Source organism: Homo sapiens, chromosome 11, assembly GCF_000001405.40.
Source record: "Homo sapiens chromosome 11, GRCh38.p14 Primary Assembly".
NCBI classification, from domain to species: Eukaryota; Metazoa; Chordata; class Mammalia; order Primates; family Hominidae; genus Homo; species Homo sapiens.
This window is the reverse complement of record NC_000011.10, coordinates 8816169-8841476: the sequence shown is the minus strand read 5'-3', so window position 1 is coordinate 8841476 and position 25308 is coordinate 8816169. Positions and strand designations below refer to the sequence as shown.

Sequence of the window (25308 nt, the reverse complement as noted above, 5' to 3'; positions counted from 1 at the left end):
TGTAGAGATGAGGTCCCACTATGCTGCTCAGGCTGGTCTCGAACTCCTGAGCTCAAGCGATCCTCCAAGCTTGGTCTCCCAGAGTGCTGGGATTACAGGCGTGAGGCACCTGGCTTCACAAAAACACACGTTTTGTTTGTTTGTTTGTTTGTTTCTTAATTTGGACCAATATAGGAAAAATTTTAAATTTTTTTTTTAGGCAAAGGGACTAAAAACAAAAACCTCAAATCTATTATCATCTTCACAACATATAAGAAGAGACATTTGCAAATCAAAATAATAAATAAATTAAAAACAAGTCAAGAAAATGGGCTAATAAGACAGCAAAGAAAGAACCTTCCACTTGTCTATTATATAGTTAGGTTAGATTTAAGATGTTTGAATCATGGAAAATGACAGCGTAAGTTTCTTGATATTTGTCAGTTTGGGAATTTTTATTTAGTAGTGCAACATTAAGAGAAGTTTGACTGTCCAGCTTGTTTCATGCCTTTTTCTTTTAAAATCACAGTTACTGTTGGGAGTCCATTTTGACAGATTTTGATGAAAACAGTATCAACAAGCATTGTAATTTCACTCAATATGGAATATTCTGGTGGATGGCAAAAGGGGAGTGAGAACAGTTCTTAGGCTTTCAGTTCCGTGGCCAGGCCAGGAAGAAAGCAGGAGTAGCAGCTCCTGTGTGTGACTGGTGAGGGCTGCAGGAAGGGGCTGCAAGGACCTGTCTGCCAGTGCTTCCTATGTGGGGTGGGGCTGGATACTGCACAGCACCCTTCCTGCCCAATATGGAACGGGTAGGAGTCTTACTTGAGAGGGATGCTGTGGATGGTAAAAACTTTCATCTTGGCCGGGACTGATATTTAGGAGAGCCCCTCTTGTAAAGGAATTATCCTGTTTGGTTCTCCAAAAAGAGATCTACAGGAGAAGGCACAGACAAAGGCCCCATTGTTTTCTCCAGGGCAGCTGTTCATTGCGTTGGTGCTGGGAGGGGTGTGGGAAGCTTGCCCGACTCAGGCCTAGGTGCTCAGATGTGGGAGTGGTCCTGCCGTTCAGCCCTATTATTTTCTTCTGAGCCTTTCTTGTGGGGTCTTTTTGCAAACTGCATTTTCCTCCAAGCAGCAGAATCTTAGCTTCACCTTTTTTGTGGTCTTGGTGCCCTGGAATTTTGGTGAATGCTGAGTGCCTGGGAACAGAAAAGCCTGAAAGCACCTTGGGAACTCCCCAAGTCCCCTCTCTTTTGTCCAAGAGAATACCTACTTCTGCCTTTCCAGGGGCTGTGCTGGGGGAAGTGTGTGTGTTGGCCTCTCTGGAGAAGGGCATGCTGGCTTCCCTGGCCTGTTTACATTAGTCTCATTCTCGCTGCCCTTGATTACAAATGAGGCATTGGGCGGGGGATTTCCCTGCTTCCAGGGAGGTCACTCCTTCCTTTTGTCTGTGCTCTCAATTTTTCCACCTGGGGAAGAGCTGCCTTGAAAAAAAACCCCAAAACTCCCCTTAGCTTAACTCCTTGTCTCATAGACTGTCCAGTAAGTGGATCAGTTCATAATCAGGAAGCAATTCATCTGTCTCCTGAAATTCCCTTCCCCTGGGTTCTCTTAGTCCTTTTCTCATTCTCCTGTCTCTGCTGTAGTTATCAGCACTCCTTCCTAACAAAACAGTGTTCCCAACCCAGAGTCTGGTCTGCTCCTGGGTGCTTCTTGAGCTGAGGTGTTGATGCAAGGGTTCTGGACCTTAGGAATGTGTGTCCTGGCACTTTGAGTAGAATGGAAACCCTTTGAGGTTAAGAGCTCCAGGTTTTTTCCTTCCCTCTTCCCCACTCTGTATGTAATGCTTGTGAGAGGACAGGAGGGGTCACTGGGGAGGGGGACCACTGGTGGCCCAGTTTGCTGGTGTGGTCACCTCAGAAGTGAGGGAAAGCCTGTTGCCCTGAGCATGGGTAGAAAGCTGGCCTCAGACCCCTTTGCTCTTCTGTGGAACTCCCCGCCCACCTTTCTTGTTCAGTTGAACAGTGTCAATATCAGAGCCTCTAATACAATTAAGGGATCCTATTTGAAGCCCTTTCTTAAAGGTTATTGGAAAGTGTAAGTGAATTTTACTTGGTGGTAACAACCTTTCCACTCTTTTCACAGATTTCACACCCTTTGGAGAGTTTCTTTCTTGGATAATTCAGGTAGGTTTTTACCTTTTGTTTTTTAAATCAGTGGATCTAGTTCCATACAGTGACTTCTTCAGTTCCCCCGGCAAAGATCCTTGTTCGGGTCCCTTGAATTTCCTTCTGATTCCACTGATGATGCTCCTGGTTTCCCAGGGCTTCCATCTCATTCTCATAGATTCCTGTGTACCTTATCATGTTGCAAGCTTTATTCTAGCTTCTGTTAGGCCAAATTAGTATCCATTCTCTTTCTCTCTTCCTCCTTTTTTCTTCACTGGAAAGTTAATGTTTTGCCTTTGGGCTTTTTTTCTAAGCCAGGTTTCAGTTCAGACCTTGGTGCTGGGAGTAGGCTTGGATTCCTGTGTTATGTTGCTTCAGCATACATCTGTGTTGTAGGCCTAAGAATGGTCATTGCTTCTATGTTGCTCTGAGATTTTAGCTCCATATCCTTTTGATCAAGCTTTGTGTTGGTGAGCACTTTTTGTGTCCTTTAAGAATTCCTTTCCCGCCCCAAGGTCATGAAGATAGTCCTCCTAAGTTTTCCGTAAATGCTTTCCCTCTTAGATAACATTCCCATTTAGACCTACAATCCTATCTTTAGATCTCAACCACTTTTAAAACTCGGATTCCTTTGTTCCCAGCTTGTCCTCAGTTTAGGATTGCATTTTTCCTCTTTTGTCACCCATCTGCTGGCCTTTGCAGTGGTCTCTTCGATTTCCCTCTGTGCTGTGCCTACCCAACTCCCACAGTTTTCCTCTCTGGCATAGGTCACAGAGGAAATATTTAGTTAGTCCCTGCCAAACATTCTGGCTGTGTTGTTTTGCTTAAAAAGACATGCAGTAAACTGTTTTGATTCTTGGTCGTGGTGCTGTAGGGCAGATGTTTCTCCTATAACGGAGGTGTTGTGGTCAGTTGGAAGGAGCGGTGGACGTGAGTTCGGAGAATTGGATTCTAATCCCTGCAGTGTTACTAGTTTGTGGTGGGATCTTGCGCAAGGCACATTTGTATGTCTGAATTTCCTTTTGTTAGAGGGGAACTTATTTCATGGTGAAGAAGACAGGACTCTGTGGGTATGAGATAGGAATCTAAAGAGTAAGCCTGGGAGATCCAGGAAAGACTAGACAGGCAAGAGGCAGAGAACCATTAGTGTGAGCATCCTTAGTGGAACTGGAAGGGAACTCAGATGACTCCAAACAGATAAAAGTAATATATGTAGTCACTTTGAAAAAGTATAAAACGTGGTAAGAAAAACTGATGGAAATTCTCTGACGAGGATAACTTAAGGAGATAACTGCCTGTCCATGCCTCGGCTTGCTGTGGGTCCACACGTGTTTGCTGTCACCCTTGGGATGTGGGAGGCTTAGCCTTCTGCGGGTTCAGTTCCAGAATTCTTCTTCCCACCTTCCACCTCCTTCATAAACTCAGGAATATTTGAAACTCAGCCCAGATCTTCACCTGGCTTTGATTTCTCCATCATGCGGAGATTGGTCCTTGGAAGTTGTAGCTTCCAGAGACCTTCGATGTTTGCTAACATGTCCAAGCTCTACATTTATTGATTGTTGGTTCTGTTCATGGCTATGTTCAAATTCTTGTACCCTGAGGGTGGTATGATTTGGTTCCAGCAAGGAAGGGGAGGGTATTTGGGGGACCCTATCATCAAGAACTAAGAAATAAAGGGAAACGGCTGGATGTGGTGACTCACGCCTGTAATCCCAGCACTTTCGGAGGCTGAGGTGGGCAGATCACAAGGTCAGGAGTTCGAGACCAGCCTGGCCAACAGAATGACACCCCATCTCTACTAAAAATACAAAAATTAGCCGGGCATGGTGGCGGGCGCCTGTATTCCCAGCTACTCAGGAGGCTGAGGCAGGAGAATCACTTGAACCTGGGAGGTGGAGGTTGTGGTGAGCCCAGGTCGTGCCACTGCACTCCAGCCTGGACAACAGAGCGAGACTCCATCTCAAAAAGAAAAATAAAGGGAAACAACTGAGTAGGTGTCCTCTTGGTGTTCCTGAGAGGCAGGCCTTTGAAGAAGAAACAAAATGGTTTAACTTCTGCCTATGTAATCCCCATCCCTCCTCCCCAAATACACTTACTCAGACAGAGCTACATTTCTTCCTTATCCCTGTACCCTTCTGAAATGACTGAGATTTAATCAGATCTTGCATAGTTTAGACTTTTTTTTTTGTTCCAGTTAAAGATTTGCATTGGCTTCTTCCAGTACAGAATGAGTTGGACAAAGACAATCTCCAAAGTATTTTGCTGTTCTGTGGTCCTTTGTCGGGCAGAAATTCTCCTAAAGAAGTACTGAGGGCCGGGCATGGTGGCCCACGCCTGTAATCCCAGCACTTCGGGAGGCTAAGACAGACAGATCACTTGATCCCAGGAGTTCCAGACCAGTCTGGGCAACATGGTGAAACCCCAGCTCTATAAGAAATACGAAAATTAGCCAGGTGTGGTGGTGTGTGCCTGTAGTCCCATCCACTCGGGAGGCTGAAGTGGGAGGACCACCTGAGCCCAGGGAGGTCGAGACTGCAGTGAGCTGAGATCGTGCCACTGCACTCCAGCCTGGGTGACAGAGTGAGACCCTGTCTCAAAAACAACAAAGTAGCCGGGCGCGGTGGGTCACACCTATAATCCAGCACTTTGGGAGGCTGAGGCGGGTGGATCATGAGGTCAGGAGTTTGAGACCAGGCTGGCCAACATGGTGAAACTTCATCTCAACTAAAAATACAAAAATTAGCCGGGTATGGTGGCGAATGCCTGTAATCACAGCTACTTGGGAGGCTGAGACAGGAGAATCGTTTGAACCTGGCAGGCGGAGGTTGCAGTGAGCTGAGATTGCACCACTGCACTCCAGCCTGGGCGACAGAGCAAGACTCCGTCTCAGAAAAAAAAAAAAAAAAAAAAAAAAGAAGTACAGAAGGATGCTTGTCTTTGCAGGGTTAGTGATGAGGATGAGGACCCATGCTCACTGTTGCTGTGCCCAACCCTGGGAGGCTCTCAGGCTGCTGAAACTTGCTAGAGAAAGTTGTGGAGCTAAGTAGAATATTTCTGGGCAGAAGAGCTCCATAATTGATTCTGTATACTTTCAAGTAGGACTTCTCTGTTATTTTGCAATTTTTTTTTTTTTTTTGTATTTTTAGTAGAGACGGGGTTTCACTGTGTTAGCCAGGCTGGTCTCCAAATTCTGACCTCCTGATCCACCAACCTCGGCCTCCCAAAGTGCTGGGATTACAGGCATGAGTCACCATCCCCGGCCCTATATTCACCATGTTTTTATGTATTCCATAAGCCCTAACTCCACTGTGACCTACATCCCCGATGAGGATGCCTCCTACTTTCCTGAGACTGTTAGAGCTAGGTGACATAGAACTCTGGGGTAGTTTATTTTCTTTAGATAGATCGGTACTCAGCCAGCCAGCTCAGGAGAACAGGCAGTGAGCATTCCCCGTAGGCTCTGTAGACGTGTTCCTTGCGAATGCCAACGATGTCTGGTTGAAGTAATAGTTTGATCTGGGGCTGGATAAGAGTTGTGAGCCTGTGTCTGGCATTTGGTATTTTCCCCCATTCTTTGATCTTAAGTTGTCCTAGGCAGGTGATCCAACTGGTATCTGTCACATAATATCCAGTGCGTCCTCCCTGGCACTCCGATTCTCAGTAGTCATGAACCAGCTGGCTTCTATATCTCTCACCAATCACAGGTAATTTAGGTCTCCCTCAGGTAAGTGTTCTTCAGATCCTACTCACATCCTCTTTAATCCCCATCTTTCCTTCTCTTTCTGTCCTTATGATTTTGCTTAATTGCCTCCCAAAAAACCCTCCTTATCCCCTTTCCTTTTTGCCTGTGGGATAAAAGCTAGCTTTGATCATAGCTGGTAAAGTGTGAAACCAAGAATACTTCTGAAAGGACAGTCAGACATTTGGGAATGAAAGTAGACGGTTTGAAGTATCAGTGCCATCACTATTGTTCTTGAGAATGCTTTTAAAGATTCCCCCCAGATATCCATCTTTTAATTAACCTGCCCTTCTTCCAGGACCACAATTTGAAACACGTAAAAATTATTATTTATTTGTTTGTTTGGAGACAGAGTCTTGCTGTGTTGCCCAGGCTAGAGTGTGGTGGCGCGATCTCAGCTCACTGCAGCCTCCACCCTCTGGGCTCAAGCAATTCTCCCACTTCAGCCTCCCGAGTAGCTGGGACCACAGGCACACACCGCCATGCCCGGCTAATTTTTGTATTTTTGTAGAGATAGGTTTTGCCATGTTGCCCAGGCTGGTCTTGAATTCCTGGGCTCAATTGATCCGCCCACCTTGGCCTCCCAAAGTGATGAGATTACAGGTGTGAGCCACCGTGCCTGGCCAAAAATGATATAATTTTATTCCTCTTACATTTTGTTTTATTGCTAGTATTTACAGAGGTATTGTTTTGTGTCTTTATTATGTATAAACAGTATTTCAGCCATGTTGTTCATTAATGAGCTTGTCTGCGCATCTGGCTACCATGTCTGGTGTTGTTTCTGTGGAAAACTGTCTTCAACCTATAAAGGGCGACTGCCTGAAAAAGGAGCTTTTAGTGAAAACACAGTCTGTTCACCCTCTGGCCCCTGCTGGTGAAGTTGCTCTAGAAGAGACTGACTCTGTTCCCATTGCATGAAGAGGAAGAAAAGTGCTTCCAAGGGCTTCCGGGAGCAGGTCAGGAAAGCTAGGTCTGTTTTCTTCAGTCTCGGCTAGAGGAGCTGGAATGTGCCATGCCTAACTTTGCCTAAGCTCTTTTCTTTTTCGCACTGTGTGTCACACTGGGAAAAACTTGAGCTTAAAACCCAATGAAATTCTCCCACTTTGAAAATCATGATGTAATTATGACAGGATCGCATTCTTTAAACTTACTGTTTAGTGGGGTTAGTGGAGTTATCTCCTCTGATTTTTGACAAGGAAATAATACATTCTTGTTGCAATGCTGTATCAGGTCTTAGGATGGAAAGCGTCTAATTTAAAGCTACAGACCTTTCCTGTAGGACGCATATGCTGCTAATCTATGAAAACTGAAGATGTCCCAGTGCACTGTGTGTAAACTGCAGCATCTCCTTGTGGAATGAACAGTTCAGGAAAATAGAATGACTTTCCAAACTGTACTAGGTTCCAGGTGACTGAAAATTTCCTGTGAGGGTGGGAAAGCTTATCCAGATGTTCTTGCTTGGGGATCAGCATGTGTCATCCCGTTCCAAAGAAGTACAGTCACAGCTGATTTTATCTTTGTCCTTCTTTCTGTGGTGCCCAGGGATGCTCTTTTTGAGTTCATCTTTGGTCTTGTCTCTCTGAAAAAAGCAGCATGCATTTTGATCTAGGTTTAAACAGTTAAAATCTGTGGCCACAGGGTAAGGTGAAACTAATGGCTCTAAGTAGCCAACTTTTTACCTTTGCTTCACTGGCACCAGGCTGTGAGTAACTGAACTAACCAGCTGCAGACCCTTATTATGCAATTTTGAGGTAAGGATGGGTGAAATCCTAGGGGCTGGGAGACAGACATGTTTGGCTACCAGAGAGATGACATCAGTTCATTTACTGGTGCTGTGGAGGAAGGGGAGATTCCAGGTGCTTAGCCTTCTTCCTGCATGTGGGGGTGTCCAGAGCCACCCTTAATCCTATTCGCAGCCAAGGTCTTTGCTTGGGAAAAACCATATTTAACTCTGTGCCTCCTGTTATCCCCATAGGGACATGAAGTTGGAAGGGTTCTTGTATCTTTGGCTTCCCGAACAAAGCTTTGAAGAACAGACGTGTGTCTATATGTGTCTCTGTGTGTATTTTGTATTAATGCTAGCAACTGATTAAGGTTTTCAGAGTCCAGGTCGTATATGAGAAGGGGAAGTGTCATCTGGATTTTATGGAATCTGTATTAGGAATTGCCCTTTCCTTGCAAAGGAAACAGTTAATGATGTAATCCACTTTTAAATTAAAATTATTTTATTATTTTATTTTGATATCCTTCACGTGGACACTTAGTATATAACAGGAAGGCATCTTTAATAACTCTTTCTGTGTTCTGCTCCTTCTCCTGTGCTTATCCTAGAACAGAGCCTTACAGGGTCATAATTTGGAGGAAGCACAGGCTTCTGGGAGCTGTGGTACTAACAGTAGGACTAAAAAAAGCCTTATGACCTCTGAAGCATGACTGAGAGAATCAAGCTGGGAGGCATTAGAGCCCATCTGCTCACCAGCTTTGCTGGCCTGTCAGATGTTGGGCTTCCCCTCCGGTTTGCCCTCCTCCCTCAAGATGTGTTAGAAAATGAAGCCTGCTTCCTGGAAAGCAGGTGACGCCAAAGCCTATGCTAAGAGGATCCGACCTCACATCTGCGTGCCTGCCTTGGGCTCCCCTGTGACTGGATTGCTTCGGGTCTCCCTAAGACCCTTGCTGACATTCAAGTGCAGCCGCTGCTTACTGGAAGCCGTCTGGGGCCAGCCCAGGCTTGTTCTGTCAGGGCCTCTTCCCACCACTGTGTCCTCGCCTCCTGTGGGCTTTCACATACAAGGGCCTCACCATCCCTGAATTGCCAGAATCCTTGTTGTGAGAACCCAGTGCCTCCCAGTCAGGGCCCAGGAAGCTGTGGGTAAGCTCTTGGTTTCCTTCTCGGCCAGACACTTCTGGGAAACTATCTGCATTCCTTTCTGCCCAACTCTGCCTCTGGGCTCTGGGGCTGTGTGGGGTGTGGCTGCCTCATGCCTCTGTGAGGAGGAATGCTAGTTCCACTGAGACCAGCCATGGAAGGTAACCAGGAGTTTGAAGGTGGAATTCCCTTTTCTTGCAGTCCTAGAGCCAGGAGCTAGCTTTTCATGGATTGTGATGAGGTGTTGGTTCTTTTTTTTTTTTTTTTTTTTGGAGACAGAGTCTCGCTCTGTTGCCAGGCTGGAGTGCAATGGCACAATCTCGGCCCACAGCAACCTCCGCCTCCCCGGTCCAAGCAATTCTCCTGCCTCAACCTCCCGAGTAGCTGGGACTACAAGTGTGCACCACCATGCCCAGCTAATTTTTGTATTTTGTACTAGAGACGGGGTTTCACCGTGTTGGCCAGGATGGTCTTGATCTCTTGACCTTGTGATCCGCCCACCTCGGCTTCCAATAGTGCTGGGATTACAGGCGTGAGCCACTGTGCCTGGCCGAGGTGTTGGTTCTTTTAAAAATTTTCCAACTTGCTTTCCTGTCTCGCTGTCACTCTGGAAGGCGGGGGTGAGGGGTAGGAGGAGAGACAGTCGGCTCAGTCGGCTGTGATCCATCTTTGGCACTGGAGATGGGTGTGGCAGATACCTTTTGTGAGGAAGGAGCTTAGAGGCAGATGAGAGAATCTGCCTCTTGGTCTTGGTATAACTGGACGTCTCCCCAGTCTGGCTCTGTTGACACTCTGAATGGTTTGTGAAGGCATCCTCTGGCCCCTGAAGGCATTACCATCCTTACCAGGTTTAAAATCTTTCAGAGTGCACCCAGCATCATCAGCTCCTGCAAGCAGAAAGGGCCCAAGGGAGCATGAACACACACTGGGTAGAAGTTAAGCCTGGTTTTTTAAAATTTAAGTTTAAATTTTTAATTATTTAGGGAGTGAATCCTACAGAATTTAATTTTTCCATCTTTTTTTTATGGAGACAGGGTCTTGCTGTGTTGCTCGGGCTGCTCTTGAACTCCTGGGCTCAAACAGTCCTCTTGCCTCAGCCTCCCAACGTGCTGGGATTACGGGAGCAAGCCACCCCACTGTGTGCAGCCCAGAAGTTGAGCCTGAGAGGTAGGCTTATTGCCCTGTGTCTACCCAAGGGTGTGTGTGTGTGTCTGGAAGTGGAGATTAGGAGTGAATGCATCTTATAAACAGGAGAAGATCTGGAGAGACGATGGTGGGGGCTGGCTGTGGGGAGCACAAAAGCTGGGACTTTTGCAGAGGTGTATTTGCTCCCGAGTGGCCAGAAGCCAGGAGTAGTGGGGAAGGTGGGTTTAGGCATGCTAGGTTATGCTTGCATTGCTGAGTACCTTGGGTGTGATGGCCAGGAATGCTTTCCTCTGGGAATTGGGCCGATCTCCTGACAATCCTCCCCATTTTACACCCATTACATACTTATGTGATTCTTACCTATCAGGGAGGTCTTGGGGTCATGTGTTGTGGGGCAGAGGCTCTGAGTCTAAGAATGGGCTGGTCAGCCAGGGGCTCCACCTCCCAGTTTGTTGGCTTCCTCAAGGATGCCATCCTTCTTTGCAGCTGCCAATCTTCACTGGTGTCTGTGCCCTGGCAGGGTATAGAGCCCTTCTCATGGGTGCTCTGCCTCTTTGGGGGCTTGAGAACAGATGGGGCTTAATTTGAAGCAGATTTCCCTCCAGGGCCCAGGTATGAAATATATATTAGAAGATGACTACTGGTCTTGGCTTTTCTTTCTTATGTGTCTCTTTCTTCCTTTTATCTTCCCACTACTGTCAGGCACTGTGAGCAGCTGTTGCTATCACACGGGCGGATCAGAACATGAAGAATGGAGCTAAATAGAGCTGTCTGCATGCTGTTCTGATGGGCTCAGGCTCAGCCTCAGAGAATAGGTGGATTGGAGCCTGTGATGGGGGCTCTTTCCCCCACCAGAGTGGGTGAAAGCAGGGAGGAACAGGCGGGAAGATACTTTAGGAGTTGGGAGGGTATTAATTCCACCTCTTCTCTCCTTCCTCTGTACCCCAACATTCCCTGTGAGTTGTCAAGGGCTGGAGAGATAACAAAGATCTTTCTTTCCACCATCAGGCAGTAAGGCAATGCAGCCCTCGCTGAATTTTCAGCTCCACTGACATTGTGATGCAAATATTAAATAAAGCTTATTTTCTGACCTGAGGGAATTTATAAGCTATTGGGAGAGACAGTGTTTGTTAAACAAGTAGAGAATATCCAAGATCTTAACTGTGTTGGTTTACGAACCATGGATACATTTATAGTTCAGAACAAGAAAGTTGTATCTTAAAACCACAGAAAACTTTCCTTGGAGGAGGCAGGATTTTTCTGGTCTTTAAAGTTGGGTCAACTTTATAAGGAAAGGAGAGATGTTCACTCCAGTGTCACGGCGATGATCTACCTTGGAGGGGTAGGTGTGGCAGAGCAGAGCCAGGGACCTGAGCTCTGGAAGTCCTGCCATTACATAGGTGATGTGAAGTGATGCAGTGAAGGTGGAGTTTTGTGGAAATCTCTCCTGTAGATCGATGAAAATAGGATAATTTTGGAGAGGCCAGAGAAAGGCAGTGAGGAGGCCTGCTAAAGGACCTGGCAGGTCAGCAACAGGAGAGAGGAAGGGGGCGAGTCCTAGAGAATATTCCAGAGTAGATGAGGCAGGACTGACATGAAGGATGAACTTGAGGGGCAAGACGGAAGACACCAACGTTTCTGACCTGTGAGAGCTAACCAATACTGACACGTTCTGTTTGTGAAGTACTTGGACTTTTCAAAGCACTTTTTCATTCAGCAGAGCATTGTCTGGGCTCTTAGAGTTCATCTAGTCTGGCTCTGTTTTATAGAAGGGGAGATTGGGGACGAAAGGGGAAGCGACTGTTCCCAGCACACACAGCTATTTAGTGGTGGGGCGGGACCCGTGATATAGGCCTCTCCCTCCTAAGACAATTTTAAGACAACAGCAGCATGGAAGAGAGTGTGGGCTTCGCAGGAAGTCCGTCTGGCTGGATAACATTAGGTGATAAACCAATCTCTGAGAGCTGAGAGAAACTTACTCAGAAGCATTCAGACCATATCAATGGTTCAGCTCCTCAGAATTGTTTTTGAGAACCACAGAGAAGGAAGATGGACTCCTTGGGTCCTTCTAGTTCTCAGATTCATAGGAGTGCACAAAAATAATGTATATGAATAGTACTGAATGGGGCTCCCCGGAGACTGGCGGGTCTCCAGTGTGGTGCCTTTCTAAGGGAATTTTCAAGATAACTTGACTCCACATGATTTTTGCCTTGTGCTGACCACGGAAGCTGACTGCAAAGACACCACTGCTGAATTGCGCTGTGGCCAGTCATCACCACAGCCAGGGGCTCAGCATTGCAGTGACGGCTCTGATGTGTCACCCACTCCTCTCCCACCTCCTCTTACAACATATGCTGCACATGCACATGCACACACATACCACACACACAAACACCACACACACCACACATACTACACACCACACACACACCACACATATGCACACACACCACATGCACAAAAGCACACCACATACCCACACCACACACACAAACACACCATACACACCACACCACACACACCACACACAAACACACCATACACACACACGCACAACACACTCCACACATACTACACACACACCACACACATGCACACCACACACACACCCACACACACACCCCACACACACACACTTTCTCCTCCCTTCCCTGCCTCCCTCCTTCCTTTCATCTTACTTTTTGTCCTCCACAGTTTCTTGTCTCATCCCTGTCTTCCACCTCTGCTCCCCGCTCTTGTCTGGTCTAATTAACTTCCTCTGTTGGAGCAGCTTCCCCTCTTGGGTAAACTCAGACATGACCGCAGCAAAGCAGCGTGGAATCTTCTGTTTGGTCAGTGTTCCCTGAAATGGTGGTGGCACTCAGCCATCCGGGTCAGAAGCTGGAGTCCTTCTGGAGCTTTGCTCACCTCTGCAGCTGGTCACCTCCGAGTCCTTGTTTCCTATTAAAAGAGTGCTCGGTCCGCCCTGCTTGTCCCCATTCTCACCACCCCACATGGCAGGAGAGGAAGCAGAGAGGGATCATGGTGGAAGAAAGGAACGCAGAGATGAGGGTCCCCTTTGGTGTCCTTGAAAGCAGTGACCCCTCACAGAGTGGGTTCTTGTGGTCTGCGTCCTGACCCCCAGCTTCCCCGCAGATACAGCTGCATTGGAGCCCCTGAAGACAAACCAGAGAAGTGCTGCATCCTGGGGGGCAGGAGGCTTTGCTTTGCCCAGGGCTGGGCTCCTGAATGAATTTTGGTGCAGCCTTAACGGCCGAGTTGTGCTGTTGAAGGTGCACTGCTCTGTGTCCAGGCACTTCTGGAAGAGGAAGTCAAGGTCATGAGGCTGAATTAGGCTTTGTGTGCTCCTTCTAGGTTCTCAGCGTCTGTCTGGTCCTTTACTTGCTTTAGATCTCTGCCCCAGCCACTGTAGGCAGGAACAGCTCTCTTCCTTGAGAACTCAAGAGGTTCTCAAGGTAGTAAACTTCATGGTGCTCTTAGTTTAGTCTGAATGGCCTTGGCCTTGGGGTCCATCCCAAGTTCCATAGCCAGCAGTTGGGTCCATGTCTCACATTTTTGTCCCTGTCTCCTCCACACAACATTGCCACAGTCCACCCCCGTTCCCCCTCCCCACCTCCAGTCTGGTGCAATAGGGATTTAAGGAGGAAATGGATTACCTGGATAGTAGAGGAAGGAAGTTTGTGGCTGGCAAATTGTTATTTTATTTGGAAAGTCTATCCCATTCTCTCCCAACCCTCAGAGCATAAGGTGAAGTCAGATGTCGTTGAGCTGTCTCTCTTCCTAGCCATCTTGGATAAAACAGAGGTACAGGGTTCACCCTTCAGAAGCTTGCTGAGACAGTCTTATTTACTAAAACAACAACAAAACAAAAAACACTTCAAGCCCCCAAATCCCAACCACATAAGTCTCTAAGCCTCTGACAACTCTCGCATCTCTCTGGGTCTTGGACCCTCTGTGACAAAGCAGTGGTAACTTGGTAACTGTCTTGGGAGCACGCAGAGAGAGTCAAGCCTCATCTTGCCAAATTTTCCCAGAGTATGCACCCCTTCTTCATCTCCTCTGGGCCTTTACCTTAGAAGAGCTGTGTCATGCATTACTGATGGCAGAGGCTGTCTGCATTGGAGATGAGTGGCTATAATCTTTCATCACCTTCAGGAGAACTGTGAAATCGTTGACTTCCTTTATCTGCTCGGGTTTGAGATGAGCTAGCATCTACCAGTTTTAGCCTCTGGAGTCCCATGGCCTTGTAAGAAGGGAGTGTTCTGCTGGCACTAGCTGTGCGGGGGACAGTAGTCCTTGACCCTTTGTTCTTTTCACTCTGCCTTCCTCCTCTCAGTCGTTCACAGCTCAGCCAACCAGCTAAGTGGGGTGTAGGCAGATGTATCACCCCAGGGTAAGGAGCCCCAGACAGGGAGGGAATAAAGGCTTTCTGAATTCTTTCTTTCCTGCAAATTCAAAAGGCTAAGTGGTGCTCAAGTATGTTCCCTGACATCCCTGGGAGTAATGCTCAGGAATTCCCCCAAATTTGCCACTCTGAGACTTCCAAACAAGCTTCCTCCTGTTTCTGTCCTTCAAGATCTTAAATTGCTTTCTACTCTCCCCGTTCCCTCCACATTCCTCTGCTTTTCCTTTCATCATCTCCCTCATCTTCCCTTCCTTGAATCGTGGGGTCTAATTGATTTCTCTATCACACAGGTTGTTCAATGTTGATCTCTAAGTGAATGAACATTCATAAGGACCTCTTTTTACACAAAGGCAAACTAGCTCTCTTCCGCAGAAACATAGGATGGGCCCAGTGCATGTCTTGTTAGATAAGGAGCTAATCATTGCATAGATTAGGAACTTCTAAGTTCTTAACCTTGGGGAAAAAGAAGATAGTTTAAAAAATGGCATCTTCTCCTGTAGGATGTTGACGTTTATTTAGTATGACTCATCTGTAGATCAGGGCCGCCTTCCATGTTCCTAGGATAAGAACCGGATGTTGAATGGCCACTGCTCTTCTCTCTCCCCAGATCCTTAGAAGAAGCATCATAGGGTTCCTTTACAGGAGATAAGCTGGTATGTCTATATCCCAGCAATCCCTGAAGAAGCTGAAATGCTGCATTCCTACCATCTAATGTTTCGGTTACAGCATTTAAGCCTGAGTCCTTGCTCACAACAGCTATCAGATGACAGCTTAGTATAGGAGGTTAAAGATCCACAAGAATTCACTCTGATAGTTAAAAATATCACTGTGATTCTGCTTGTAGTGAACCATGGTTTGGGGAGATGATGGGTCAGAATTGTTTGGATTCCTGAGCTGCTCTATATCCTTGATAAAGCTCGGATGGTCAGAGCCCCAGCTGGGAGGTTTTGATGTGACTAGCAGGAGGGACAAAGGGCAGGTCAGGCAGGGCCCAGCTGTCTCTTCTTTCTGTGAGCGTTCTTTATTCCCCAGAGATGACTCCGTGGGGATAAAAGCGGTAGTTTTCTATCTTCTTGTTCTGCAGGAGAACTTACAACCTCATGAATCAGACGTGTTATCTTCTCAGTTTAAGGGGCTCCAAAAGACTTGATTTCCTTTTTTTCTTTCAATATATTTGTCTGAAATGTTATTCAAGACTCCATTTACCCCGGGACTGCAAATATAATATATGTCCCCTGGAAACACTTTTGTTCTAACCAGAATGGAGCAGAGTAGGACATGAATCTCATTTGATCTGGGCCCTGTGTTTTGTCAGCTAAACTCAAAATCACATTTGCTCATCAGTTGACTCATATTGAACCTTTCCTCAGGTCTTTTTCACTAATAACCATCTTTATCCTGTTGTCTTGCAGTATTTTTCTAAGCTTCAGTGTAAAATTACATATTTTACCCTTTAAAAATTTCATCTTGCCGTATTTAACCTATGGTTCCAGTTTGTGGAGGCTTTTCTCTCTGATTATATCTAGTATATTCATTATCCCTCCCAATTAATTTATCATAAACATATTTGATAATTGTGTCTTATCCAAGTCATTGATAAAAAGGGTAACCATGATGAGATCTAGAATAAATGGGAAGAGAAAGGAATATTACAGGGCAACATCCCTGATGAACATAGATGCAAAAATCCTTAACAGAATACTAGCAAATAGAATTCAACAGCACACTGAGTCTAATAAGACAAAGGTCCAGTATCCAGCATCTATAAGTAACTTAAACAAATTTACAAGAAAAAAAAAACCCATTTTTAAAAAGTGGGCAAAGGACATGAACAGACACTTTTCAAAAGAAGACATACATGTGGCCAACAAGCATATGAAAAAAAGCTCAACATCACTGATCATTAGAGAAATGCAAATCAAAACCACAATGAGATACCATCTCACACCAGTCAGAATGGCTGTTATTAAAAAGCCAAAAAAGTATAGGTGCTGGTAAGGTTGTGGAGAAAAAGGAATGTTTATGTAGTGTTGGTGGGAGTGTAAATTAGTTCAACCATTGTGGAAGACAGTGTTGCGATACCTCAAAGACCTAAAAACAGAAATACCATTCCACCCAGCAATCCCATTACTGGGTATATACCCAAAGGAATATAAATGATTTGATTATAAGATGCTGGGTGCAGTGGCTCATGCCTGTAATTCCAGCACTTCAGGAGGCCGAGGCAGGCAGATCACTTGAGGTCAGGAGTTCGAGACCAGCCTGGCCAACATGGCGAAACCGTGTCTCTACTAAAAATACAAAAAAAAAAAAAAAAATAGCTGGGTGTGGAGGTGTGCGCCTGTAGTCCTAGCTACTCGGAGGCTGAGGCAGGAGAATTGCTTGAATCTGAGAGGTGGTGGCTGCAGCAAGCCGAGATTGTGCCACTGCATTCCAGACTGGGTGACAGAGTAAGACTCTGTCTCCAAAAAAAAAAAAAAATTTTGTTTGATTATAAAGATACAAGCACATGTATGTTCATTGCAACACTATTCACAATAGCAAAGACATGGAATCAACCTAAATGCCCATCGCAGTAGACTGGTTAAAGAAAATGTACATATACAGCATGGAATACTATGCAGCCATAAAAAAAGAATGAAATCATGTCCTTTGCAGGAACATGGATGGAGCTGGAGGCCACTATCCTTAGCAAACTAATGCAGGAGCAGAAAACCAAATACCGCATGTTCTCACTTATAAATGGGAGCTAAACATTGAGTACACATGGACACATAGAGGAGAAGAACAGGCACCAAGGCCTACTTGAGGGTGAAGGGTGGGAGGAGGGAGAGGATCAGGAAAAATACTAATGAGTACTAGGCTTAATACCTGGGTGATCAAATAATCTGTACAACAAGCCCCCATGACACAAGTCTACCTGTATAACAAACCTGCATATGCACCCCTGAACTTAAAAAAAAAAAAAGAGGCCAGGCATGGTGGCTCACGCCTGTAATCCCAGCACTTTGGGAGGCCTAGTTGGGCAGATCACAAGGTCAGGAGATCGAGACCATCCTGGCTAACACGGTGAAACCCCACCTCTACTGAAAATACAAAAAATTAGCCGGGCGTGGTGGTGGGCACCTGTAGTCCCAGCTACTGGGGAGCCTGAAGCAGGAGAATCGCTTGAACCCGGGAGGCGGAGGTTGCAGTGAGCTGAGATCACGCCACTGCACTCCAGCCTGGGCGACAAAGCAAGACTCCATCTCAAAAAAAAAAAAAAAAAGAAGAAGAAGAAGAATGAGCAGTGGCCTCAAGTCACAAAAAAAGGAAAAAAAGGGTTCATGTACCATGATCAAGTGGGATTTATCCCTGGGATGCAAGGATTGTGTATTAGTCCATTCTCATGCTGCTATAAAGAACTGCCCAAGACTGGGTAATTTATATGAGAAAGAAGTTTAATTGACTCACAGTTCCACATGTCTGGGAGGCCTCAGGAAACTTAGAATCATGGTGGAAGGCACCTCTTCACAGGGTGGCAGGAGAGAGAATGAGTGTAAGCAGGGGAAATGCCAGGAGCTTATAAAACTATCAGATCTCATGAGCCTCACTCACTATCATGAAAACAGCGTGGGGGAAATGGCCCCCATGACCTAATCACTTCCCATTGGATCCTTCCCATGACACCTGGGGATTATGGGAACTACAATTCAAGATGAGATTTGGGTGGTGACACAGCCAAACCATATCAGATGGCTCAACATATGCAAATCAATAAATGTGATAAAAACAGATGGGATGTGCCTAAACTTCTAGGAGTTCCAGAGCTCCTCTTCCTGGTTGATGCAGATTCATTTCATAGCACTGTTTGGACCCAGCTGTCCTGAGTTACCAGTCCATCCAGCTGCCGGTGCATCTCTGATTTTTTTTTCTTTAAAGATCAAGAGAGATTTTTCTGAAGTCCAGATAAATTATGTCCCTGACATTCTTTGCCATATGTATGTGCATATGTGTGTATTCATTTATGATATATATATTATATACAAATATATATTGTGTAAATATGTATGGATATTACTTTTTAAGTCCCCAATCTGTTATTTATGGATCACTTACTAGCTATTGCTGAGTGTTTTACATGTATTATCTATTTTATTCCCTACAATAATTATATAGTAACCTCATTAACTAAAAGTAATGATGTCTCTTGATGCGATTTGTACTTAATCTCCAGGGATCAATACTTCCTTCTCTGAGTCCTTGCCACTTTTTATATATTCTTTTCTGGAGTTTTGCCTATGATATTGATTAAGAAATATTTTTTGAGCACTTGCTATGTACAAAGAAAGTACTGCATTACAGCCTGCTGGAAATTCAAAGATGAATATGCTAGAAGAGATTATATGTAATTAAAAATGTAAGGGAATGAACAATAGCTTGGTAGGGAAAGGAGGAAAAACAAAAGAACAGTCCTGAGTGTGAATGGAATGCCGAAACTAGCCCACCTGCAGAGTTCGAAAGGGAAACCTTTAGAAGCCATGGGGATGGTACAGTCCACGTTAGATTCTCTTCACAGAGGTGGAAAGTATCCAGTTGACTGACAGTTTTAAATCCTATCTCAGTACCTTGTTGGAGTGGCTCCGTGAGTCCGAGGTCAAAGCGGAAGGTTGCAGGAAAGAGTCCACTTTTGAAATCTTTTCTTTAAAAAAATGTTGCTAAACGTTCAGTTATAAGATAAATCCTGGGAATCTAATGTACAGCATAGTGACTATAGTTAATACTGTATTGTTTACTTGAAATTTGCCAAGAGAGTAAGTCTTAAGTGTCCTCACCTCTCCCCACCACATACACAAAATGGTAACTGTGTATGGTAATGAATGTGTTAATTTGTTTGTGATAGTTGTTTCACAGTGTATTAGTATATCTAATTATCATGCTGTACATCTTTAGTATATAGAACTTTTGTCAATCATAACTCAGTAAAGTTGGAAAAAATTGAGAAATTATTTAAAATATGTAGAATGTCTATTTTTATATGTATAGTTTAAGTGACCCACCACCTAGCTTAAGAAAGAAAATGCTACTATTAACTTTAAAATCTCCTGTGTCCTTACCAGTAATTGATTTAATTTAAGAAAATAAATGTATGTTGAATGGTAGAAAATAGTTCACAAGTTTGAGACCAGCCTGGGCAACATGGCAAAACCCCCTGTCTACAAAAAATAAAAAAATTAGCAGGGTGTGGTGGTGCACACTTGTAGTCCCAGCTACTCGGGAAGCTGAGGTGGGAGAATTGCTTGAGCCTGGGAGGCAGAGGTTGCAGTGAGCCAAGATCTTGCCACTCCACTCCAGCCTGGGCGATAGAGCCAGACCTTGTTTCAAAAACAAAACAAAACAAAACAAATCTACAATAGCAGCAGTGTAGAATATGTAGAATTTAGTAAAAAGGAAAAAAATTGCTAACATGATTATTGCTTGGTATAAATTTTTTTCACTTGCATATGTCTTTACATTTTAATGTAGTTATAGCTTTATTATGCATAATTAGCGTTGTCTCCCATGCTAATAAAGTCTTCGTAATTGCCATTTAAAGTTAGTTCTTTTTTTTTTTGAGACAGGATCTCTCTCTGTCTCCTGGGCTAGAGTGCAGTGACGTGATCACTGTTCACTGCAGCCTCTATCTCCTAGGCTAATGTGATCCTCCTACTTCAACCTCCTGTGTAGCGGGGACTACAGGCTTGTGCTAATTTTTTTTTTTTATTTTTGGTAGAGACAAGGTCTCTATGTTGCCCAGGCTGGTCTTGAACTCCTGGTCTCAAGAGATCCTCCCACCTTGGCCTTCCAAAGTGCTGGGATTACTGGTGTGAGCCAGCTAGTTAATTTTTAAATAAAAAACGTGTTATAAATTCAAAAGGTACAAAAAGATATACAGTGAAAAGCAAGTTTTCCTCCCACCCTCTTTTCTCCTTAGAACAAATTGCTGCTACCAGTTTGTGGTTTATAGTAGTTTCTTTTAAATTTTTTAAATTTAAATTAAATTAAATTAATTAATTAATTTTTTTTTTTTTTTGAGGCAGAGTCTCGCTCTGTTGCCCAGGCTGGAATGCAGTAACACGATCTCAGCTCACTGCAACCTCTGCCTCCTGGTTCAAGCAGTTCTCATGCCTCGGCCTCCTAAGTAGCTGGAATTAAGGCATGCGCCATCATGCCTGGCTAATTTTTGTATTTTTGGTATAGATGGGGTTTCACCGTGTTGGCCAGGCTGGTCTCGAACTCCTGACCTCAAGTGATCCACCTACCTTGGCCTCCCAAAGTGCTGGGATTACAGATGTGAGCCGCTGCACCCAGCCATAGTCATCTCTTACAATGGCTGCACAATAGTCCATCTAGTGCAGTTTTTCAGACCAAGGGCCATAATCCATTATTGGGTCAGGAAATCAGTTTAGTGGGGCTCTATGTACTTCGTTTTCTTAATTTCTTAATAACATAGATTAGGATTGAAAATAGCAGAGAGCATCACATACAGTAAAGATAGTGTTGTTTTGAGAAACCTTTTTGGTTCAGTTTTTTACACACATGCACATACACACACACCCTCTCACACATGCATATGCTAGATTACAATGTAAAACATTCTTTATTGGGTTGCGGTTTAAAAAAATACTAATCTAGGAATGACTGATATGGAGATTGTTTCTAATTCTTAAAATTATTAAAAATAGTGCTGGAAACAGACATTTATTCTGCATACTTAGGAATTTTCTCTTAGGATATTCTCCCTGAGTGAGGCTACTGAGTCAAAGTCTGTGAGCATTTTAATTGATAAGTTACTTTCCAAAAGCCATATCCCATTTACTATTTAATAAATGTCATCTGTGCTTTGTTTAGCATAGGTTATTTTTATTTTAACACAGACTGTTTTCTATGGGTAATATATGTGATATATATATTTTTTAACAGAAAGGGATGATTTATTAATTTTACCCCCAAGTAATATAAAGTGAACATTTCCCTATTTTACTAAATATTCTTCAACAGCAGTGATTCTCATTCTGGGGGCGACTTTTCTTGGGTGTAGGGTAAATACTTTAGTGCTTCCCAAACTTGAGTCAGTCTTACCTACCTTTATGATTTTTTCCTGTAACCATGTATTGTATATACTTTTATTTACTTATCTTTAAATTTGGCTTTTAAAAACTTTTTACTTTTAAATAATTTTAGACTTAGAGAAAAGTTGCAATGGCAGTACAAATTCTCCTAATCTTGTGTAACTACAGTACAATGATCAAAACTAAAATTGATATTGATATAGACTTACTGGGATTTCACCAGTTTTTCTTACGAAACTCCTTTTTCTATTCCAGGATCAAATCCAGGATCCCATGTTGCATTTAGTTGCTGCGTCTCCTTAGTCTCCTCTAATCTGTGACAATTCCTCAGTCTGTCCTTGTCTTTCATGACCCTGGCCCTTTTCAGGAGTACTGGTCAGGTATTTTGTAGAATATCCCTTAGGTTGGGTTTACTTCATGTTTTCTCATAATTAGATCAAGGTCATGGATTTGGGAAGAGCACCACAGAGGTGAAATGCCCTTCTCAGCACATGGTATCGGGGTACGTGGTGTCATTATGTCTTTATTGCCTGTGGTGTTAACGTTGATCACTTGATTAAGGTGATATGTGTCCATTTCTCCACCGTGAGGTTATTTCTACCTTTGTAATTAATAAATACTCTGGGAGAGATACTTTGAGGTTACACAAATATCCCATTTTATCTTAAACTTTTTTTTTTTTGAGACAAGGTCTCACTCTGTCACCCAGGCTGTGGCGTGCAGTGGCATGATCATGGCCCACTGCAGCCTTGACCTCCTGCTAGGCTCAAGTGAGCTTCCCACCTCAGTGTCGAAAGTAGCCAGGCCTACAGCTGTGTGCCACCACGCCTGGCTGTTTTTTATTTTTTGTAGAGATGGGGGTTTTGCCATGTTGCCCAGGCTGGTCTCAAACTCCTGAGCTCAAGCGATCTTCCTGTCTTGGCCTCTCAGATTGTTGGAATTACAGGCATGAGCCACCAAGCCCCGCCTCTCCTTAAACTTCTACCTGCTATAAAACAATACTAAAAGCATACAAAAAACGTAACTTCTTTAGTATTGATCTAATCAGTGAGATTGGTAATAATGAGGTTAGTAGCTGGCTTTGTTCTTCTATACATTAAGTAATATAAAAGTATTAAAAACTTAAAAAAAGTTTGTCCATATACCACTTATAATCATCTTGTATACACACCCCATCTTGGACACTCTGGACTACTGTGAGGTGTTAAGCATCAAATGGTCTAGGTTCTGTGGTGACATTATTAATACCCTTTTTAGTTGGATTGATTAGTTGGTTGGTTTTATTAGTTCATTCATTTAAAAATTTATTAATTGTACGTGGTACACAGCCCTAAGCTAGAATTCAGAGTTAAGACATAGTTCTTTCTCTAAAGAATATTACAGCTAGCAGGAGAATTAAGCTGAATGAGCTTTGGTGCAGTCACACAAGGCAGTGGGGCATGGCTGGCATTGGAGTGGCAGCCTGTTCTGAGGAGTACTGGGGGGTAGGGCTAGAGAATCAGTCTAGCCGGGGAGAATGAGGGGAGCTAGGATTGAGGAGGTTGGCACAGTCTGGGCTCACACTTCCTACAGCCTTGCCCAGATCTTACTCTTAGGGGTACTTCTTTCCCAGGCTGAAGGTATTTTCTTGGGTAGATCATAGAAAAGCAGCTTGAGTCCACATTCCTCTTAATACCCTACCTCTTCCCTTTCCCTCCACTTTGCACCTTGCCTCCGCAATCCTGAAGATTTTAATCATGGTAGGTTAAGGTCATTGTTGAACTCAGAGTTCTGAGCTAGCTAAGCTTGGAAAGCCTATTATTATTATTATTATTATTAGAGACAGAGTCTCACTGTGTTGCCCAGGCTGGAGTACGGTGGTGTGATCTCAGCTCACTGCAACCCCCACCTCCCAGGTTTCAACTGATTCTCCCACCTTAGCCTCCTGAGTAGCTGGGATTACAGGCGCCTGCCACCATGCCTGGCTAGTTTGTGTATTTTTAGTAGAGACGGAGTTTTGCCGTGTTGGCCAGGCTGGTCTCAAACTCCTGACCTCAAGTGATCTGCCAGCCTTGGCCTCCCAAAGTGCTGGGATTACAGGTGTGAGCCACCACGCCCGGCCAGAAAGCCTATTTTAGAAGGGTAAAATGGTGCTTTCATGGGGATCTAGGGTATTGCTTCCTTGATCCAGTCTTTCCTGGCTGGAAGCCTATGTTTATGTGGCCCAGTGTTAACATGCTCCGACTTAATAAGGGACAGTGGTCAGGGGCCTGTGGATTTGAGAGATTTCAGAAAATTGGCTTATATATTAACGTTATCACAGAGACTCCAAGAAACTGAAGCAAGCTGTGAGTACCTATGTTGTGAGTATCTGGACATTGAGCTTTATACGGAGGGTTGTGAGCTGAGCGGAGGTGAACTAGGGCTGGATGACTGGCAGACTGAAGGAGAGGGGGCGCAACCTAGCATGAAGGTGTGTGGTAGCTGCTTCACTGCAGGGCTGTGGGGTCTAGAAGAATTATAGACTGAATTCCACACTTCCCTAGTTCAGAGCCTTAAGGTCAGGGGTGGGGTGCTGGTGGTAGGAGAGGCAGGGGGAATTAGGTCAGGAGTAAGGACCTGGGAAAACTTCCTATCATAAAACACTAGGACTTGACCACAGAATGGGTATTTCTCTGCCTTCCTAGGAAGGCTGTGCAAGCAAAGTTTGTGTGGCAGTGGTCAACACTGTGCAGGTCCTGCCAGATGTGGCTTCCAGGTGGAGGGGGCCCAGGATTGCCATCTTGAGGAAGACATTTGTTTTGTTGATCTGAAGGCCCTCATAGCACCCAGGTAGAGAATGCTTGATTTGCAGTAGACAGATTGTCTTCCAAGAGAACTTAGGTATTGTCAGCTGTTCAATGTCTGCTTTGTAAAGGCAACTTTGTCTCAGACTTATGGATAGGGGTGAGTCTGAGCAAGGACCTCAGCAGGAGCCTTAGTCCTCTTCCAGGCCATTTCCTAATTTCCCCATTCTGTAATTTAGCACCTTTCTTCTCTGTCCAGCCCTCCTTAGGCAGGAAGCCTGAGTCTTCCATTTTTTTTCTTCTAAAAAAGGCTACTGTTCATTGGTGATGGACCTCTGTCTGATCCCAAAGCCCCAAGCCCGGGGCTCTGCTGAAAGGAGTCTTTCTGCTGCTTTGGACTTAGAAAGCAGTAGGACTGGGTGACTGCGTAGAATGATGCAGTAGGACAGTCAAGCCGAAGGATGCTTGAACAGCTAGTCCAGCCCTCTCATGTGGAGGAAAAAGCAAAGGCCCCTAAGGGAGACAGGGACTTGCCTAGGATTTTACCATTCCAGAAAGCTGGAAGCCAGGACTGGGCTCCAGCCTGCTAGCTGTCTACTCTTGAATTTTAAAAGCTTCCCTCTTGACCACATTGCCATTCACAGGCAGAAGAGGAAAACTGTAAAGCCCTTAAGGGCTCTTCTATAAATGGCAGCTAGAACCCAGTGTAGGAGAATTGGTGGAGAGGAATATGTTTGATTCCCCCCACCTTTTTTTTTTTTTTTTGAGACACAGTTTTGCTCTGTCACCCAGGCTGTAGTGCAGTGATGCGATGATGTCTCTCTGCAGCCTTAACCTCCCAGGCTCAAGCGATCCTCCCATTTCAGCCTCCCAAGTAACTGAGACCACAAGCGTGTGCCACTATGCCCAGCCAATTTTTTAAAATTATTATTTGTAAAGATAGGGTTTCCTTATGTTGCCCAGGCTAGTCTTGAACTCCTGGGCTCAAGCAATTCTCCCACCCCAGCCTCCCAGAGTGCTGGGATTACAGGTGTGAGCCACTGCACTTGACCTGATCACCCATTAATTTGGTAGAACTGGATGTTTTCAGTGGGAATACCACTGGACCCCAGTCTGGGGGGCATTAGAAACTAGGCTTCCCAGAGGC

At 44.7% G+C, this 25308-nt stretch overlaps 1 protein-coding gene across 7 annotated transcripts in view, besides 5 other annotated features; it reads left to right on the top strand.

Moving 5' to 3' along the window:
* DENND2B (DENN domain containing 2B) overlaps window positions 1-25308 on the top strand; it is a 217600-nt gene that overhangs the window by 69475 nt on the left and 122817 nt on the right. For 2 of the 7 annotated variants that reach the window (NM_005418.4, NM_139157.3), the window contains exon 3: window positions 2127-2167. The exons of 3 other annotated variants lie outside the window; for them this stretch is intronic. The gene's annotated coding sequence lies outside the window, so the exon portion shown is untranslated. Of the gene's footprint in view, window positions 1-2126; window positions 2168-5718; window positions 5874-9788; window positions 9922-25308 lie in introns of those variants that run through there. 2 more of the 7 variants (NM_001376495.1, NR_164814.1) reach the window with 2 other exon arrangements.
* Window positions 8035-8835: an enhancer, noted in NCBI's record as "H3K27ac-H3K4me1 hESC enhancer chr11:8854189-8854989 (GRCh37/hg19 assembly coordinates)". NCBI's record gives its function as "activates a minimal SCP1, AML or CMV promoter by ChIP-STARR-seq in naive and primed H9 embryonic stem cells {active_cell/tissue: H9 hESC(naive and primed)}" and the evidence as "EXISTENCE:reporter gene assay evidence [ECO:0000049][PMID:30033119]".
* Window positions 8035-8886: a biological region, named in NCBI's record as "H3K27ac-H3K4me1 hESC enhancer GRCh37_chr11:8854189-8854989".
* Window positions 8567-8886: an enhancer, noted in NCBI's record as "active region_4393". NCBI's record gives its function as "activates an Ori minimal core promoter by ATAC-STARR-seq in GM12878 lymphoblastoid cells {active_cell/tissue: GM12878}" and the evidence as "EXISTENCE:reporter gene assay evidence [ECO:0000049][PMID:35858748]".
* Window positions 8836-9637: an enhancer, noted in NCBI's record as "H3K27ac-H3K4me1 hESC enhancer chr11:8853387-8854188 (GRCh37/hg19 assembly coordinates)". NCBI's record gives its function as "activates a minimal SCP1, AML or CMV promoter by ChIP-STARR-seq in primed H9 embryonic stem cells {active_cell/tissue: H9 hESC(primed)}" and the evidence as "EXISTENCE:reporter gene assay evidence [ECO:0000049][PMID:30033119]".
* Window positions 12418-12917: an enhancer, noted in NCBI's record as "H3K27ac hESC enhancer chr11:8850107-8850606 (GRCh37/hg19 assembly coordinates)". NCBI's record gives its function as "activates a minimal SCP1, AML or CMV promoter by ChIP-STARR-seq in primed H9 embryonic stem cells {active_cell/tissue: H9 hESC(primed)}" and the evidence as "EXISTENCE:reporter gene assay evidence [ECO:0000049][PMID:30033119]".